The sequence below is a fragment of the Homo sapiens genome, chromosome 4 (genome assembly GCF_000001405.40).
Source record: "Homo sapiens chromosome 4, GRCh38.p14 Primary Assembly".
Taxonomy (NCBI): Eukaryota; Metazoa; Chordata; class Mammalia; order Primates; family Hominidae; genus Homo; species Homo sapiens.
The window spans coordinates 94,743,146-94,760,570 of NC_000004.12; the positions used below are offsets into that span (position 1 = coordinate 94,743,146).

At 40.2% G+C, this 17,425-nt stretch overlaps 1 protein-coding gene and 1 long non-coding RNA gene across 6 annotated transcripts in view; one reads left to right on the forward strand and one right to left on the reverse strand.

Moving 5' to 3' along the window:
• Positions 1-522: 522 nt before the first annotated feature.
• Positions 523-14,388, reverse strand: BMPR1B-DT (BMPR1B divergent transcript). Its single transcript, NR_121610.1, has 3 exons — positions 14,249-14,388; positions 11,685-11,760; positions 523-949 (listed from the first exon to the last, which is right to left on the reverse strand). It is a non-coding gene; the product is annotated as a BMPR1B divergent transcript (long non-coding RNA).
• The window catches only part of BMPR1B (bone morphogenetic protein receptor type 1B), a 400,496-nt gene continuing 397,880 nt past the window's right edge, over positions 14,810-17,425 (forward strand). For all 5 annotated transcript variants that reach the window (XM_017008559.2, XM_047416093.1, XM_047416091.1 and 2 more), the window contains exon 1: positions 14,810-14,923. The gene's annotated coding sequence lies outside the window, so the exon portion shown is untranslated. The remainder of the gene's footprint in view (positions 14,924-17,425) is intronic.

Sequence of the window (17,425 nt, forward strand, 5' to 3'; positions counted from 1 at the left end):
AATCCCTGTATGAGAAAAAAAAAGGGAGGAGGAAATTACAGGAACTGGAATATGATCTAAGAAAAGGTATGCAATGTATACTTAGTGCCTATATTTGTATGCTATAGGAGAGGGATATTTATTTTATTTATTTATTTTTTCAGATGGAGTCTTGCTTTGTTGCCCAGGCTGGAGTGCAGTGGCCTGATCTCGGCTCACTGCAACCTCTGCCTCCCAGATTCAAGTGATTCTCCTATCTCAGCCTCCCAAGTAGCTGGGACTACAGGTGCCTGCCACCACACCCAGCTTATTTTTGGATTTTTAGTAGGGATGAAGTTTCACCATGTTGGTCGGGCTGGTCTCAAACTCCTGACCTCAAGTGATTCTCCTGCTTCAGCCTCCCAAAATGTTAGGATTACAGGTGTGAGCCACTTTGTCTGGCTGGGATATGAAAATTTTCTAAAGGCAAAATCAATAGTATAAAAAAACCTAAGTCGAACATTAAGAGAAGATAAGCCTTTGAAAGATAAAATTTTAAATAAATTATTAGCATGTCATAAAGTTTTATTTATTTTAAGACGAAACAAAAATGTTAGTTGATACATGAGAATAGAGGTGTTAATTAGTAAGTTTATGAACCAGACTTCTGTTTATATTCTCTTATGAAGGATAATTTTTGGTTAGTATGAGATTTTATTTCTTGATTATGAGCATTAATAAAGGCAAGTGTTGGCTGAGCCTGGATGAAATATGAGATGTTTATAACACACACACAATTGTGACAATTCAAATGCAGAACTTTTTGTTTAAACAAATGATTACGGTTGAAGTAGAAGTATAAGCAGGGCCATAATTCATGACACATCCAATTCTTTTTCCTGCTGCAGTCATTAGTTCTTCACCTTCGCAGTAACAACCATATGAGTGCAACGAAATAGACCATGACTAAAGGATTTGGTAAGATCTTGCTCTACAAGAAAACAAAAAGAAAAACAAATAAAACCTTAAGAAAAAGTACTATGAATTGCTGCTTAATGAATTCCCTATGCTTACAGAACTACATAGCTAGGCTATGGGGAATTTAACTGTCTGAGTCTTCTTTCATTTCCAAACCAATAATACATTGACATAGCCTCGGTCTACATTATCTAAATTAATTAGAGCCAGAACCTAAATAATTTCCTGGCTGTTAGTTTTAAACAAATGAAAATGTTGGTATCAAGGCTTTCCTGTTGCTACTGTATCAAGATCTATATGACATATATGGTATCAAAACGTATATGATATATATGGAATATGGTTATATACAATCTAGCTTGGTCATGGTTACATAGAAAGACTATTCTTTTTAAGTAAGGCTGCTCGTTTTTAAATCACAGTAAAACATAGGAATCTTCAACTCAGAAGTCTATTTTTCCATGGGTATGCTGAAATAATGCTTTCAAACTATTACAAATTAACTGAAAAGGTAAGTAGTAAAATAGAACAGGTTTATGTCTTTGTGGTGTAACAAACAGTAAAGCATGTAGGTAATTGGATTCCAAACCTTGCCCCCTCCCTGAGGGCTATATATGCCCACTCTTCTACTATACTCCCACGGGGAAGTCATCCTGGAGCATGAAGAGCATTAAAACAGCAACAGTGGCCACAAACATAATATTGAGATTATTGCCTTGGTTATCTCTATACTAATTTTATGTATATTATATACATATCGATCTGTCTTCACAAATGCTGTGTACCAAGTACAAAATTTTCAAGTTGCTAAATGTAGAAATTAGGAATATCAGTAATTTTAAGGTTATGATGAGTTGCAGATGTAGTAATAATTCATGTGAGATGTTCTGTCAAATGATTTGAAAGTCATTAAAATCCCTCACCCAGAAATAAATCCATGCATTTACGGTCAATTGATTTTTGACAAAGATGCCAAGAACACACAATGGGGAAAGGAAAGTCTCTTCAGTGAATGGTGCTCAGAAAACTGAATATCCACATACAGAAGAATGAAATTAGACCCTCATCTCACACCATATCAAAAACATTAACTCAAAATCTAAGACCTAAGACTTAAATCTAAGATCTGAAACTGTAAAACAAAGAGAAGAAAACACAGGAGGGAAGCTACATGACATAGGTCTGGGCAATGATTCTTTGGATATAACTCTAAAAGCCAGGTAAAATAAAAACAGATGAATGAAATTATATCAAACTAAAAAGCTTCTGCACAGCAAAGGCAACAATCAATAGGGTGAAGAGACAATTCATGGAAGAGGAGAAAATATTCAGAGATCATACATCCGACAGAGAGCTTACCATCTAATAAGAGATAATATCCAAAACACATAAGGAATTCATCTCAATTATAAGAAAACAAATAACCCAATTTAAAAATGAGCAAAGGACCTGGATAGATATTTTTTTAAAAGAAGATATACAAATGGCCAACAGGTTTATGAAAAAATTCTTGCCATCACTATTGTCAGGGAAATGCAAGTTAAAATCACAATGAGATATCACCTCGTGCCTGTTAGAATGGCTATGATTGAGAGTACAAAAGATAAGTGTTGTTGGCAAGGATGTGGAGAGGTAAGGCTTGTTGGTAAGAATGTAAATTAATATAGCTATTATGAAAAACACCATGGGGGTTTCACAAAAAATTAAAAATATACCATATAATCCAGCAATCCCACTTATGGGTAATGTCTAAAGGATATGAAATTGGTATGTCAAAGAGTAAAATGGTGGTTACCAAAGGCTGGCAGGTGGGGGGATTGGATAAATGTTTGTTGATGCATACAAAATTTCAATTAGGCAGAATAAATTATTTCAAGATATCTATTGTACAATATGGTGACCATAGTTAATAACAATGTATTGTATCTTTAAAAATTACTACTAGAGGCCAGGCGTGGTGGCTCACACCTATAATCCCAACACTTTGGGAGGCCGAGGCGGGCGGGTCATGAGGTCAGGAGATCGAGACCATCTTGGCCAACATGGTGAAACCCCGTCTCTATTAAAAATACAAAAATTAGCTGGGCATGGTGGCACGTGCCTGTACTCCCAACTACTTGGGAGGCTGAGGCAGAAGAATCGCTTGAACCTGGGAGGCTGAGGTTGCAGTGAGCCAAGATCGTGCCACTGCACTCCAGCCTGGTGACAGAGTGAAACTCTGTCTCAAAAAAAAAAAATTACTACTAAAATAGATTGTTATTATTCTCATCACAAAAATAAGAGAAGGATGTGAGGTAATGCATACGCTAATTAGTTTGATTTAATTATTCCACAATGTATACCCATAGCAAAACATCATGTACGCCATAAAAATATACAATTATTATTTTTCTATTGAAAAAATCTGCCCTCATTGTCATAAACTTTTTGGTTGATTGCTTTCTCTTCAATAAAAGCACCGTAACTAGGGCAGAATAAGGCAGCAACTTTATTAATGAGTGTTCAAAGGCAAAAGTAGCTTTTCTCCAAGTGGATTTTTCAGTGTCCAGAGAATGTTCATCATGCTTGTTCAGTGTCCTTGGCTTATTAGCACCATTCAAAACACTGTCTCTAGTTTCTGTATCATGTGCACAGTAGACTATTGTCACTGGGCACCAGGCTTCTTGTCGGCTTTGAGAATTCTCTCTTGCAAAGTTAATACTGGAGGTGAGAAGGCTTATGTATTTCTATTTGAGAATTCATATTAAAGTATCAGCGTGGTTTTTTATTTATTCTTTAATTCTGACCTATATGTCCTCAATATAGATAGTATGATCTGTCTATTCACTGGGCATGTATGTAATGCTGGTAAATGTCCTACAGAGTGTGCTAAATGCTAGGCACAAACATGCAAAGATATAGTCCCAATCTCAAGAAGTTTAGCAACTAGTAGAGGAGAAAGGGACACGGAGAGAGGAACAACACACACTGGGGCCTTTTGGAAGGTGGAAGGTGGAAGGAGGGAGAGGTGCAGGAAAAATAACTAGTGGATACTAGGCTTAATACCTGGGTGATGAAATAATCTGTACAACAAACCCCCATAACACAAGTTTACCTGTGTAACAAACCTGCACTGTACCCCTGAATTTAAAATAAAAGTTAAAAAATAAATGACTGGGCGTGGTGGCTTATGTCTGTAATCCCAGCACTTTGGGAGGCCGAGGCAGGTGGATCACTTGAGGTCAGGAGTTTGAGACCAGCCTGGCCAGCATGGTGAAACCCCGTCTCTACTAAAAATACAAAAAACTAGCTGGGCATGGTGGCGTGCGCCTGTTTTCCCAGCTACTTGGGAAGTTGAGGCAGGAGAATTGCTTGAACCTGGGAGGTGGAAGTTGCAGTGAGCCGAGATTGTGCCACTGCACTCCAGCCTGGGCGACAGCGAGACTCTGTCTCACACACACACACACACAAAATATATATATATATCTGTGTGTGTGTGTGTAAAATAAAACTTAAGAGTAATTTAGCATGAAACAATTCAGTATAATTTCAATGCTTTAAAACCTTCAACAGAAGGAAAGACAGATGCCAAGTTGTGTTTCCTCACTTCTTCTTAATGTTGGAATTTCAACCTAGCATAAAAATTGTATCTTTAACATCAGATGATATTAAAAGTCCTCTATGATACCTGCATGATAGCTTTGTCATTAGCATTTTATGATCTGTGTATGACATCATGTCCGCAGGTAAAAGCAGTGAAGTAACTGTAAGGCAATGAAACATTATAAAATACCTTCAAGCATTAATGGTTTATCTCTTTTGTTTCACAATAACACAATGTTTGAAGGTAAGTCCATAGTTCTAGAAACATCTATCACTAACAGGAAAAAGAACAAAATGATTGATCCACTTAGAAGCACCTCAGTCCATCCATGGATTAGCTTGCACTTCAAACTATAGATAAGTGTGTGTCTATATTCAGAAAGTCTAAGGGGGTGTTCTAGTTAAGAATGTGAGATATACATCCTAAAAATCCTGGCTTTAAATATCCACTCCATCACATACTGCTCTGAGACCTTGGAAAGTTACTTAGTTTATCAAAACCTCATTTTCTTCATCTGTAAAATGATGGTATTAATAATATCCGTGATTAAATGAGATAACAAAAGAAGTGCTACAGTACCTGGCACATAGTAAGCAATGAACAAATAATGGCCATTCTTTTAACTGTATTATTATTGTTCTTGTTATTTCGGTTCACTCCAAATTTTATTTGGTCAGTAATAGGACTGTGTGTGTAAGAAGAATCAATTCTGTCCTTATTCTGCTATAATAGCATTTGGTGGGTGAAATAGTAATGCCAGAAATTGATGTACATTGTTATGTTATTTCATCCAGTCTTCATATGTTTATGAAATCTGTAATATACGCTAGGTGTCAGATTACTAATTCTGTGTTTCTGTACTCAAGGAGCTTTCATTTGCATCAAACAACATCTGGGGATACTCTCTGTTCAGGTAAGAATGCTCGGAATGTAAGAATGCTCACACATGCTCAGCAATGTGATTTTTTTGTTTGTTTGTTTGAGAGGTTTGCTCTGTCGCACAGGCTGGAGTGCAGTGGCGCGATCTTGGCTCACTGCAACCTCTACCTCCCAGGTCAAGTGATTCTCCTGCCTCAGCCTCCCAGTTAGCTGGGACTACAGGTGCAAGCAACCACACCCGGTTAGTTTTTGTATTTTCACCATGTTGGCTAGACAGTCTTGAACTCCTGACCTCAAGTGATCCACCTGCCTTGGCCTCCCAAAGTGCTGGGATTACAGGCGTGAGCCACCATGCCTGGCCAGCAATATGATGATGATTTGATGTCTGTTTTCTACCTGTTGAAGATGATAGTCTTTGAATTCCTCAGCCAGGAATAAAGAAATTTTACCATCATGCCCACCTCGCCCCAGATAGCAACTCCCATGATTAACTAGACTTGCATCATCTGGGCCCTTCCCATCTCACACCTCATTCAAATTTCTACTCAGGTCACACTGGTGCCATTTTGCACCACTCTACTGCTTGCCCTAGCCTTGCAGTAAATAAACTTGTGTAGGTTTTTATTCCTGTGTTTAAAAAAATTAATTTAAAATATTTATAAACTAGAAACAAAACCCTATATCCTTGCTGCCTACACAGCCCATTTATAGGATGCTAACCTTTGTTTCAAAAGATCTTTTTTGGGGTGGCCAATATAGTTGGGAGTCTATAGATGTTCTAAGATTCGGCTTCATGGTTTTTTAACTCAACTGTGAGGTTCTGTTGTCATTCAATAGCCAAGGTATGTTGAGCACCTATTATATGCCAGGAACACTACTGTGTGTTAAGAATGTGCTAAGAGGCCAGGCGCAGTGGCTCACGCCTGTAATCCCAGCACTTTGGGAGGCCAAGGCAGGCCGATCACCTGAGATCAGGAGTTCAAGACCAGCCTGGCCAACACGGTGAACCCCTGTCTCTACTTAAAGTACAAAAATTAGCCAGGTGTGGTGGTGGGCGCCTGTAATCCCAGCTACTCAGGAGGCTGAGGCAGGAGAATAGCTTGAACCCGGGAGGCAGAGGTTGCAGTGAGCTGAGATCGTGCCACTGCACTCCAGCCTGGGCAACAAGAGCGAGACTCAGTCTCAAAAAAAAAAAAAAAAAAAAAGAAATAAAAAGAATATGCAAAGGTATAAAATACACGACAGTGATAATGTAGAAGTGTGAGAAACAGTTAACAATATTCTTAGAGAAAGAAATATTTTATGAGTGAAAAGACACTTGACTAGGGTCTAGAAGGTGAAGGCCAGATGATGAAAGGGTCTAGAAGGTGAAGGCCAGATGATGAAAAGGGCCAGACAGTATAACAGGCAGGAGAAATGGTGGGAGGTGTAAAAATAGTTGGCAAGCAGTCTGTGGGGCTAGAATATTTGGGAGAAGACATGTCTGGAAAAAAAATGCTGAGACCAGATCAGCATGGGCTCTGAAAGTCCTTCCAGAATGTTACGGGTTTATTCTGTAGGCAAATGAGAACTTTTACAGTTTTTAAGCAGGTGAGTTACAATCAGATCTTCAATACTTCATGCTATTCTGACTTACTATGTAAATATCTAGCTTGTGTTAATGAATAGTGCTACTTAACAAAATCACAAGTTTGACTTTGTGTGTTAAAACAAAATTCTGCCACTAGAAAGAAAAGATGTATTTTAGAATGTGATTTCCTCTTTGATCTTTTTTTCCTTCATTCCTATTTTTGTTGTTGTTGTTACACAGAGGACTCATTTTCTCTCTTTTTTGTCTTTCCTCCTTTGACTTTGGTTCTGTCATTTTCCTTTCCATTAAAAGTAGCATGAAACTTCCAAGTTTCCTTGAATATTGCCAAAGAGGTTGGGGCTTCATCCTGCAGTATGTCCTGGACATCACTGTCTTCGTGGTTTTGTAGGATGGAAATCTGTATAGCTTTCCATGAGTATCTTCACAGTCCATATTTCAATGCAGACATTAGTCTTACAATTAGGAATATCGAAAAGGAATTCCTACAATGTCTTATAGTTAATGTGGTAATATTCAATATTATTTCTGATATTAACACCATGTTAAAAGCTTTATGAATTTAAATAAGGCACAGTCTCTAAAATTATGGAATAGAATTTAAATTTCTTTTCTCTACTAGCCTTAAATAATTATATCAATTTAAGAGAGTCTGATGGAAAGAATAGGTTTTTAGTTAATAAGTTTTTAGTAAACTCATCCTTTTCAGGTAGTTTAATCAGAAAATTGCTCTTCATCTGTTTTTGTTACCTAACTTTTCTGTGTTTTTTTCTAGTACAGAAGGAAATAGTTGCTGTATATTTCTTCCTGAGGCACACACTGTAAATATACTGTGAGTCAGGGAAAACACTGAAAAGTTCCAAGGTTGGCAAATCATTTTAGAAGGAAAAAGTCATCAGGAACATGAGACTCTAAAGAAACAGATGTAGGAATTATTTTTATAAGTTTTGTTACAGAATTTTTTCCTTATTTTCTAGTTTTAGGAATCATGTAGGTGTATGGATTAGGATGGTTCAGAATAAAAGATGCTCTAGCTTTAGAAATGTTTGAAAATTCAAAAAACAATATTAATATGACATTGTATTCAAATGTGACTTCAAAGAGATTAGTTTATTATCAAGCCCTGCGTAATTTGGCAGCATATAAACATGTGGGTATAATATCCGCTTTTATTAAGAAAAGTTGGAACAATGTTGACAGCAAAAAAAAAAGTAAAATCATTTTAACATTTCTACTTCAGTTTTTTCTTTTTTTCTTTTTTGAGACGGAGTCTCTCTCTATCACCAAGGCTGGAGTGCAGTGGCGCCATCTCAGCTCACTGCAAGCTCTGCCTCCTGGGTTCACGCCATTCTCCTGCCTCAGCCTCCCAAATAGCTGGGACTACAGGCACCCGCCACCATGCCAGGCTAATTTTTTGTAATTTGTTTAGTAGAGATGGGGTTTCACTATGTTAGCCAGGATGGTCTCGATCTCCTGACCTCGTGATCTGCCCATCTCGGCCTCCCAAAGTGCTGGGATTACAGGCGTGAGCCACTGTGCCCAGCCTTCTTTTTTTTTTTTTTTTTTTTTTTTTATAAGTGAGACAGGTGTTGTTCTGTTGCCCAGGCAGTGGATTGATCATTGCTCAGTGCAGCCTCAAACTCCTGGTGTCAATCAGTCCTCCTTCCTCAGTCTCCTGAGTAGCTAGGACTACAAGCATATGCCACCACACCCAACTGTTTTTAAAATTTTTTTTTAGAGACGGGATCTCCCTATGTTGCCCAGGCTGGTCTCAAACTCCTGGCTTCCAGGGATCCTCCCATCTTGGCCTACCAAAGATATTTTTTTCTTTTTAAAAACAGAACCAGTAGCTTAGCTACTTCAGATGTTTTCATAGTTTATGGCTTGTTTCTGTTTCAGTTGAGGAGTTCTATTTTTCTTTAACTTACATATTAGACAAAATTAAATTGCTACAGAACTAGAATTTCTGTGTTATTTCTTCCCATATATAATCACAGTTGTTTTATATAAAACCAAATAAAATGATCAGCAGAAAATATAGTAGATATGAGAGTAATTTGATGTGTATTTTAATTGTGAGGTTATCACTGACATATTATATACCAGAATCAGAAAATATATTAATATATTTAGAAATATATTAATTCAGGCTGGGTACAGTGACTCACCCATGTAATTCCAGCACTTTGGGAGGCCAAGGTGAGTGGATCACTTGAGGTCAGTAGTTTGAGACCAGCCTGGCCAACATGATCAAACTCCGTCTCTACTAAAAATACAAAAATTATCTGGGCATGGTGGCACATGCCTGTAATTCCAGCTACTTCAGAGACTGAGGCACAAGAATTGCTTGAACCCAGGAGGTGGAGGTTGCTGTGAGCTGACATCTTGCCACTGCACTCCAGCCTCGGTGACAGAGTGAGGCTCTGTCTCAAACAAACAAGAAATACATTAATTCATATTAAATAATTCACAATAAATAATATGCATTAATGTGAATCAATATCCATATTCACATGACTAACAGCATTTATATAAATTATATAAAATTATATTTGTATTGATATTTGTGTTAATACTGAAATTATTCATAATATGTTAAATACAGAATCATAAAGTAGAAAGGAGTCTTAGAGAATTTTAGAGTCTGTCCTTCAACCCCTTGTAGGCACGATCTCCTTCCACAATATCCCATCTCTACCTGTGCTAAATGCTTCTGTGAGGGAAGTCTTGCTACCTTATGATGCAATCCACAGCACAACATGCAAAAATCTGCTTTTGAGCTAAAAGCACCCATTTCTAGCTAGGAAAACCGGGGGAGAGTAGTAAAAGACAGGGAAAAGATCCTAAAGAAGCTTACAACTTGGCAAAAGGCATAGGCAAGGTGATTAAGCACTGACCCAGAGAGGGGAGTTTTAAAAGCCACAGACCTCATTGCTTCCCAGGTCTCTGCTATCACCAGCTTCTTCCCCCAGCAGCTAGCTTTCAGAACCTCAAAAATGCCTTTAATGAAATATAGAGGACTCAAGTACCCTGCTTTTCCATATGTTCTAAGATCAAATGCACACATTATCTTAGATTCAAGATCTTCACGTATTTTTGTATAGTGTCTGTTCAATGTCTACTTAAAAAATTATCAGCTGGGTGCAGCGGCTCATGCCTGTAATCCCAGCACTTTGGGAGGCCGAGGCGGGCAGATGGCCTGAGGTCAGGAGTTCGAGACCAGCCTGGCCAAAAGTGGTGAAACTTTGTCTCTACTTAAAATACAAAAATGAACTGGGTGTGGTGGTGCACACCTGTAATCCCAGTTACTTGGGAGGCTGAGGCAGGAGAATCGCTTGAAACTTGGGAGGCAAAGATTGCAATGAGCCGAGATCACACCACTGCACTCCAGTCTGGGCAACAGAGTGAGACTCCATCTCAAAAAACAAAAACCAAAAAACATTCTCAGTGCTATAGAAGCAGTTTAGTGCACTGGTTAAGACTGAGATGCTGCAGCCAGACAATTCATGTTTAAATCCTGCCTCTTCCAATTTCTAGCATGGCCGTGGGAATGTTATCTAACTTCTCTGTGCCTTGCTTTCCTCAGTTGTAAAATGGAAATAAAATAATACCTTATTATGAGGCCTCAGGTTGATAATAAATGTGAGCTACTTAGTAGTGTGCCTGTATCATGGTAACCACTCCATAAATGTGGCTTTTATTATGGAAGGTACACATTTCACCAAGTTATTATATTAACAAGCAAAAATTTAAATACTCTGTTTGTTGAGAGGCTTAACCACTTATTTTGTATATGTAGAGTCAACATGTAGCAGTGGACAATAAGACAACCACAGCAGTAGGAACAGAAGAGCAAGAAAAAGATCTCTTTCTTACACTGAAAAATATTTCCTTCACCTGATTCCTAAAATACCATACCTGAAAAGAGGCAGACTTTTATTCCACAATTAGAGAGAAATAGTTTAAAAGCACATGTTCTAGAATGTTACTTAGCATTGTATGCCTTGATTTATGACAATATATTAATGGTGGTCAAATCCTTTACCTTCAGTTTTGAGAGAAGAGGGGGGTGGAAAAGGAAAGTGGTAGGAGTGAGGATATCCATGAAGAGGAAGGAGAAGGGGAGGCTGACAGCATAGAAGCAAGCTGTGTCCCCAGGTCTGTCCTATTTCTCTACTTATAAATTCCCCAAATAGTTCAATTCCAGTGGGCCTGGGCAAATGTCTTTCTTAATGGGAAATATGCCTGCAAGTGTTTGAGAGTCCTATATACACTGCCCTGGTTTCCTTATGTAGAAGCAGAGGGGAAAAAAATCTTGCTTTTGCTAAAATTTGTCATGCACCCAATGAAGCCCCTCCTTTCTATTCTTCTCCCCCCAGTGGTCTCTATTTACTTATTTATTTATTTAGATATGGTGTGGGCATGTGGGGGTCTCACTATGTTGCTCAGGCTGGTCTTGAACTCAAGGGATCCTCCCACCTCTGCCTCTGAGTATCTGTGACTACATGCATATGCCACCACATCTGGCTCCTATGGCCTTTAAAGGCACCAAAATCCAAGGCTACAGTTAGCAATATAGGAAGTGTCTTTTGAGTCTGCTGTCTTGGTAGTTACACCATTGTCTTGGTTCAAGTATTCCTTCTTTCAATGACAGACCCTTAATTAGTTTTGTGCTTTCATTTCTCCCTCTCCAGGTACCTCTAAATGATCTCCTGAAAATCCCAGTCCACCATTTGACTCCGTGGCTTACAAATCTCCAGTGCTTCTCCATTACCTAATAAGGAAAAAATCAATTTCATTAGTATGTTTGAGAAGGTTATTTCTGAACCCTGCTTAGCCTAAGAGAGTCATCTGCTGCACCTTCTCCTCATCACTTGGATAGCAGCACTGAGATACCAGCTGTTCTCTAAACACGCCATGCTTTTTCATAGGGTTCTCCTTGCTTAGGATGTTTATTCTCTTTCTAGCCCCGCTTTGATCTCTAAAGATCCTTCAGGACCCTTATGAAATGTGACTACTCTAGGAAGGTTTTCCTGAGATTTCTAGGCAGAATAGTTCATTTTTCTATGCTCCAAAAATTGTGTGTTCATGCATTAATGCACTTCTCATAGAAAGTTCTATATATTTTTTAAGTATCTTGTTTCTTCTGTATTATGAGTTTCAAGAAGGAATGGACAGAGTTTGCCTCTCAAATACCAGGACTTGGTTTGTCATAGGCACTCAAAAATGTTGATTTTTGAATAGCTTCTTTCCAAGGCTCCCCATTCCTGCTTACAGAAATGTTACCATCTAAGGCCCACCTCAAACACAGTTTCCCCTGTACCCCATTTTCTCCCACCTGGAGTGCTTTTTTTTTTTCATCCCAAAGACCTACAGGAATTTCCTTTGTTCTCTGATTTGGAATTTTAAAAAATATATTTAAACAAGGTATTTAAAAAAATCTGTCTCCTTGTCTGCAAGTTGATTGAAGTGGAATCTGTGTCTTCTCTATCCAGAGATGCCTGTATTCCCTGAATCAGTATCTTATACCCAGCAGATTCTCTGAAGGATATTTGCTGAATGGAGGAGTTAAGCCAAGGAAAGATAATCCTTAGTGCAACTTCTGAAAAGATACAGGTGACAATACCACTAGCTCCAAAACATTCTGCATAATGTCTGCTTTATTTCACTGCAGTTTATGAGTGCTCCAATTCTAAGGGAGATTATACAGCTGTCAAATACAAATTATCAGTAATTCACACAGTAGAAAGGATAGATTCAATCAGGTTTCTTTCCTCTTTAAACTTGCTTAATGTTGATGAGATATTGACAATGATCAACACATTACATTTTTAGTTCTATGGATTTCCAGTAAATTCTCTAAGCTTTTCTATGTATACAATCATAAGCTCTGTAATGAATTATAATTTGGTATCTTATTTTCAATATTTAAAACTCATATTTCTAAACTCACATTTCATTTTCGATAATTTATTATTTTTAGTTAATTACATAATAGCTCATAATTCCTTGCTTTGTCTTTTATTTTAATGGTGTAGAAGTTATAATTTCCGTGTCTTCAAGCCCCCTTCTCCCCACAAAACACTTAGTTAATATGAGGATGGAGATGATGAAAAATTGGATTGAGGACCAGGTAGAAGGTAATTTAGGTAGTCATATGCTTTATTGTTTTGAAAGAAAGGAGGTGGAAAAGGGAAGGGGTGGGAGTGAGGGTATCAGAGAAGAATTGGGATGAGAGTAAAATGAATGGATTTTATCTTGGAATTCTTGGGGCAAGAGGATGAGTACTGGTACTGGGGACTGGAACAGTGGTTGAATAAGGAAGGTCAGATGATGTCAATGACTAATTTCACTTGTTTTGGAAATTTTCTTTCAGATACCTTTCTTCTTCCAGTTTGGCATTAGAAATCACAATGCAGATATATCATGGGGCAAAAAGACCTTTGTGGAGACTCTAACATTGCTTTTATAGAAAAAACATGACCACATCTTCATACACTCAATAAACACTGGGGGCACCGCCTGCTTTAAGTGCAAGCTGCATAAAATAAATTGATACACAAATGAATTTTTTATTGATAAGTGCAAAAAGATTACATTTAATGTTTAAAAAAGATTTAATAGAAACAATTTAAGAAAAGGGAGTAGTTGAAAGAAAATAGTAGGCTAAGAATTGAATATAGAAATAGATATGAAGAAAATTGGAAGAAAGTTACTTCAGGGTGAAAAACTGTTAAAAAAAAAAATGACTTAGATCACACACTTGGTGGTGACCAGAGACTGTTTGTCAATATTTTGGAGGAAAAAAATTTTACAGAAGGAGAAAATAAGTAATGCTGGAGAGTGGGAAGCTGAAAGGTATTGAAAGGAAAAGAGTATTTGGAAGTCACGAGATATCTCCCTGGGAAATAGAGTTGGCAAAATGGCTGATTTTAAAGAGGTTAACTATTCTCCCCAAATTTCTGACTGTGAACTAGCTTACTTTATATTTACCCACTTAGAAAGTGTTTCAACACTTAAAGACTTAGCAAGGAGACCACAAAGTATAAGACGTTACATACTTTTCCAAAAGAAACACGACTAACTGTAAACTGTCATCAAATACAAATGGAATGGGTTTTCTCTTTTGGGTTTTATTTTTTTATTTTTAATTTTTTGGTGGTTGTTTTCGTTTAACGGTTTCAAAAAATATGTAGAAGGGAAATATTTCATTTCCCTTGGACGCTCAACTGTATATATTTCAAGATTCTTAAAACCCCCACCTCAAACTGCAGGCTTAATTTTAATGTGTTCATTTTTTACAAGGTGTGTCAACGTTTTATCAATTTCTGAAAAGTGTCTATGGCCCCGAAAAGTTGAAATCCACGACATTATATCATCTCTGCGAGCCCTTTCCAGCTCTCAAGGTACAATAATTCCACGAATCTTTGTTCTTCAAACCAGGAGGTTTTCTGGAAACCTTCTTAAACAACCAGGACAGGACCCATGAGGGAAATCTTGGGGATGCTCTGAGCAGCGGACGGGGCTTGGGAAGCGCACCCCTGTACCCGGGCTGCCTCCGGCCCGCACCCCGCCGCTCCCCAAGTCGGCTCCGCACTCCGCACACAGGCGGCGGCGCTGGGGCCGCTCCAAGTGCGTTGAGAAGTGTAATCCCTCCGCTAAGTACTTGGCTCTCAGTCTCCAATCACTAGTGGGAGCTGGAGAGGGCAAGTGAAAAAAAAAAATTCCAGAGGCAGCCGAGGAGCGAGAGGGAAAAAAAAAAAAAAAAAAAAAAAAAGTCCCGCGGTGGCGGCGGCGGCGGCGGCGGAGCGGCCGCGGCGGCCAGAAGTTGACGGCGCAGCCGGGCGCGGGGCGCGGAGTCGGCGGGGCCTCGCGGGACGCCGGGCAGTGCGGAGACCGCGGCGCTGAGGACGCGGGAGCCGGGAGCGCAGCCGCGGGTAAGGCGCGCGCGGCGGGGCCCCGTCCCCTGCGGGTGGCCGAGTTCCCGAGCGCGCGGGAGGCGGCCGAGCCGGCGAGAGCCGGGCAGAGCGAGGGGCGGCGCGGGACGGGTAGCGGCTGGGTGCGGAGCTGGGCGGCGGTCGCCCTAGGCAGGACGGAGCGCGCGAGGGAGAGGGCGAGAGCGAGGGCGGGCTGCGCGGCCGTGGGGCGGTGGCGGCGGCGGGGAGGGGGTCAGGCGGTGGCCGCCTCGGCTTTGTGCGCGGGCGGCTCTGCCGGGACCCCGAGGCCTCGTGCCTGCGCAGGCGAGGAGTCGGGGCAGCGGCGGCGGCGGGCGGGACACGTGCTTCGGGCTGTAGGGACGCCCCAAGGCAGGGAGTCGGACCTGCGAGCGGAGGGATGGGGCGGGAGGGCGAGCTGAGGGCAGTCGCGGAATCCGGGAAATGGGAGGGAGCCCGGCGGGGCGGGGGCCCAGGGCCAGCCCAGGCGGGACCCGCAGGCACCCACCTGCCCCGGACGCCTCCCGAGACCCAGCCTTGCCGTGGGGGAAAGTGCGCAGCGGGCTGGTCCCGGCGCCTTGGACTGGGCTCCGTCTCTGCTTCAGTTGCCTGTCTCTTCTCCTCTCTCTCCTGCTTCTCTCTCTCTATGCCTCTCTCTCAAGTTCTGGGTCTTTCATTCTCTCCCTTTTCTTCCTTTCTCCCTTCCTCTCCTTATTGCTATCCTTTGCCTCTCCCCCCGGTCTCTCTTTCCTTCCGTGCGTCTGTCTCCCTCTCCCCACCGCCTGCTCTGGCTCTCCCAGTGTGTCCCTCCTCTGTCCCTTCATCCTCTTCCCTCTGTCACTTTCGCACAATCTTTTGGTCTCTCTCTCTCTCTCAAGAGGCTTTCGCTCCCGGTCTTCCTGGCTCCCCTGTCTCTTGCTCTCTGCGCCCATCTCTCTGCTCGTCCCTCTTTCTGTCCAGGCTCCGTGTTTCCGCCTGTGTTTGGCGGTGTTGGAGAAGAGCCTCTGGAAGTTGTCCGCTGTGGTGCGGGTCTTACTTCTTTAGAGCTGCACCCCTCCAGCTGGGTCCTGCTGTTTGTTCTGAATGGAAACGCTGCAGTTCCCTTGAGTTATTAGAAACTGCTCTTTTCTTAGCCACCTTTCCAGCAAGGTGAGGTCAGTGACTACGAGCGGCCACAAAGGTGCCAGTGAAAGACAACGGAGGAAGAGAGCCGTTTCACTACCTCCAACAGATAAAGAAAATGTGTTAATACCAAACTTACCTGCAGCAAAGCAGAGCCACCTGAGAAAAGGTTCTTGAGTTCTGCAAAGAAACATAAAAGGCTCCACTGGAAATGAGAGGGTTCAGCTAAAAAGTGTTTGCAAATAATTTGAAAAAGCACTTAATGGAAATCTCTTGCTGTGCTAAATTGATGCCAACGAATCTCTGTTTTCTTACATATATTTTTAGGATTCCAGTGACAACTCTCCTAATTATTGTTTTGGGCAAGTTATGGGAAATGTCCTGTGTCAACTGGGATGTTAGTATTTAAGAAAATATTCAGTCTTTGTACTTTATACCCCTTTACACTCTAGTGATCAAGAAGAATTATTTCTAGCTGTAAAGAAAATAGTAAAGGATTCGTCAGTAATTTTAAAACATGAGACATGCCGGTGATCAATAATGTTTTTGGAAAACTTTCATTATAAGGATGTTTTGAAGGATGTTACATCTTAGTGAAATATGTAAGTTATTACACACTTAGATCATTGTGCAATGCAAAAAAGTTTGTGTTATAAGCAGATCATAGTAGTGATGTCTTTTTATGGGAAACATAGCTGGGAAATTAATTGCTCTGATTTTCACTGTTTTCTTTAGTCATGCATAATGTACCTTTGTGTTTAGCAAAATATGGCCTAGAGCTACAAAACTTGATACAGTGTGTTATTTGTCCAATCTGAATTACCATTTAGAAAACCACCTTTTCCTTTTAGTTACATGATATAAGTTGATATGATCTCATTACTCATGTGCTAGGGGCCGCTGATGAATTTTAATGGCACTGATTTGTGTTTTTAAATCAAAATGTTAGTTTTTGGTGAGTTAAAATCTTGATTTATGTCATGTTAGTGAATCATCACTATTTATAGGGGCTTTGCCACCTTGTCTGCCAGGTGCTGCCCAGCATTTAGTCTAGGCTAGGTTGTCTGAAATTCCCTGTTAGATTATTGTCCCTGAGTGACGTGCTGCCACGGCCTGCTTATGTATGTTTCTCTAAATGTTCCAGTCGTTAAATAATATTTATTAAAAGGAAATTGACTTAAATTTTTCCTCATAAGCTTTGGGAACTGTGTGAGATGGCCTGATAAAGTATTTTTATTACAGTAAATGCTGATTTATTATTATTTGTTTAAAAGTATAAGGCAGTTTAAAATGTGCTTATCTTTTGCCACATATAGCACCTCCTCCAGCTCTTTCTGAGCACTCAAATCGTATTTATCATCCAAATCTAAAGTCAGTTGTCAC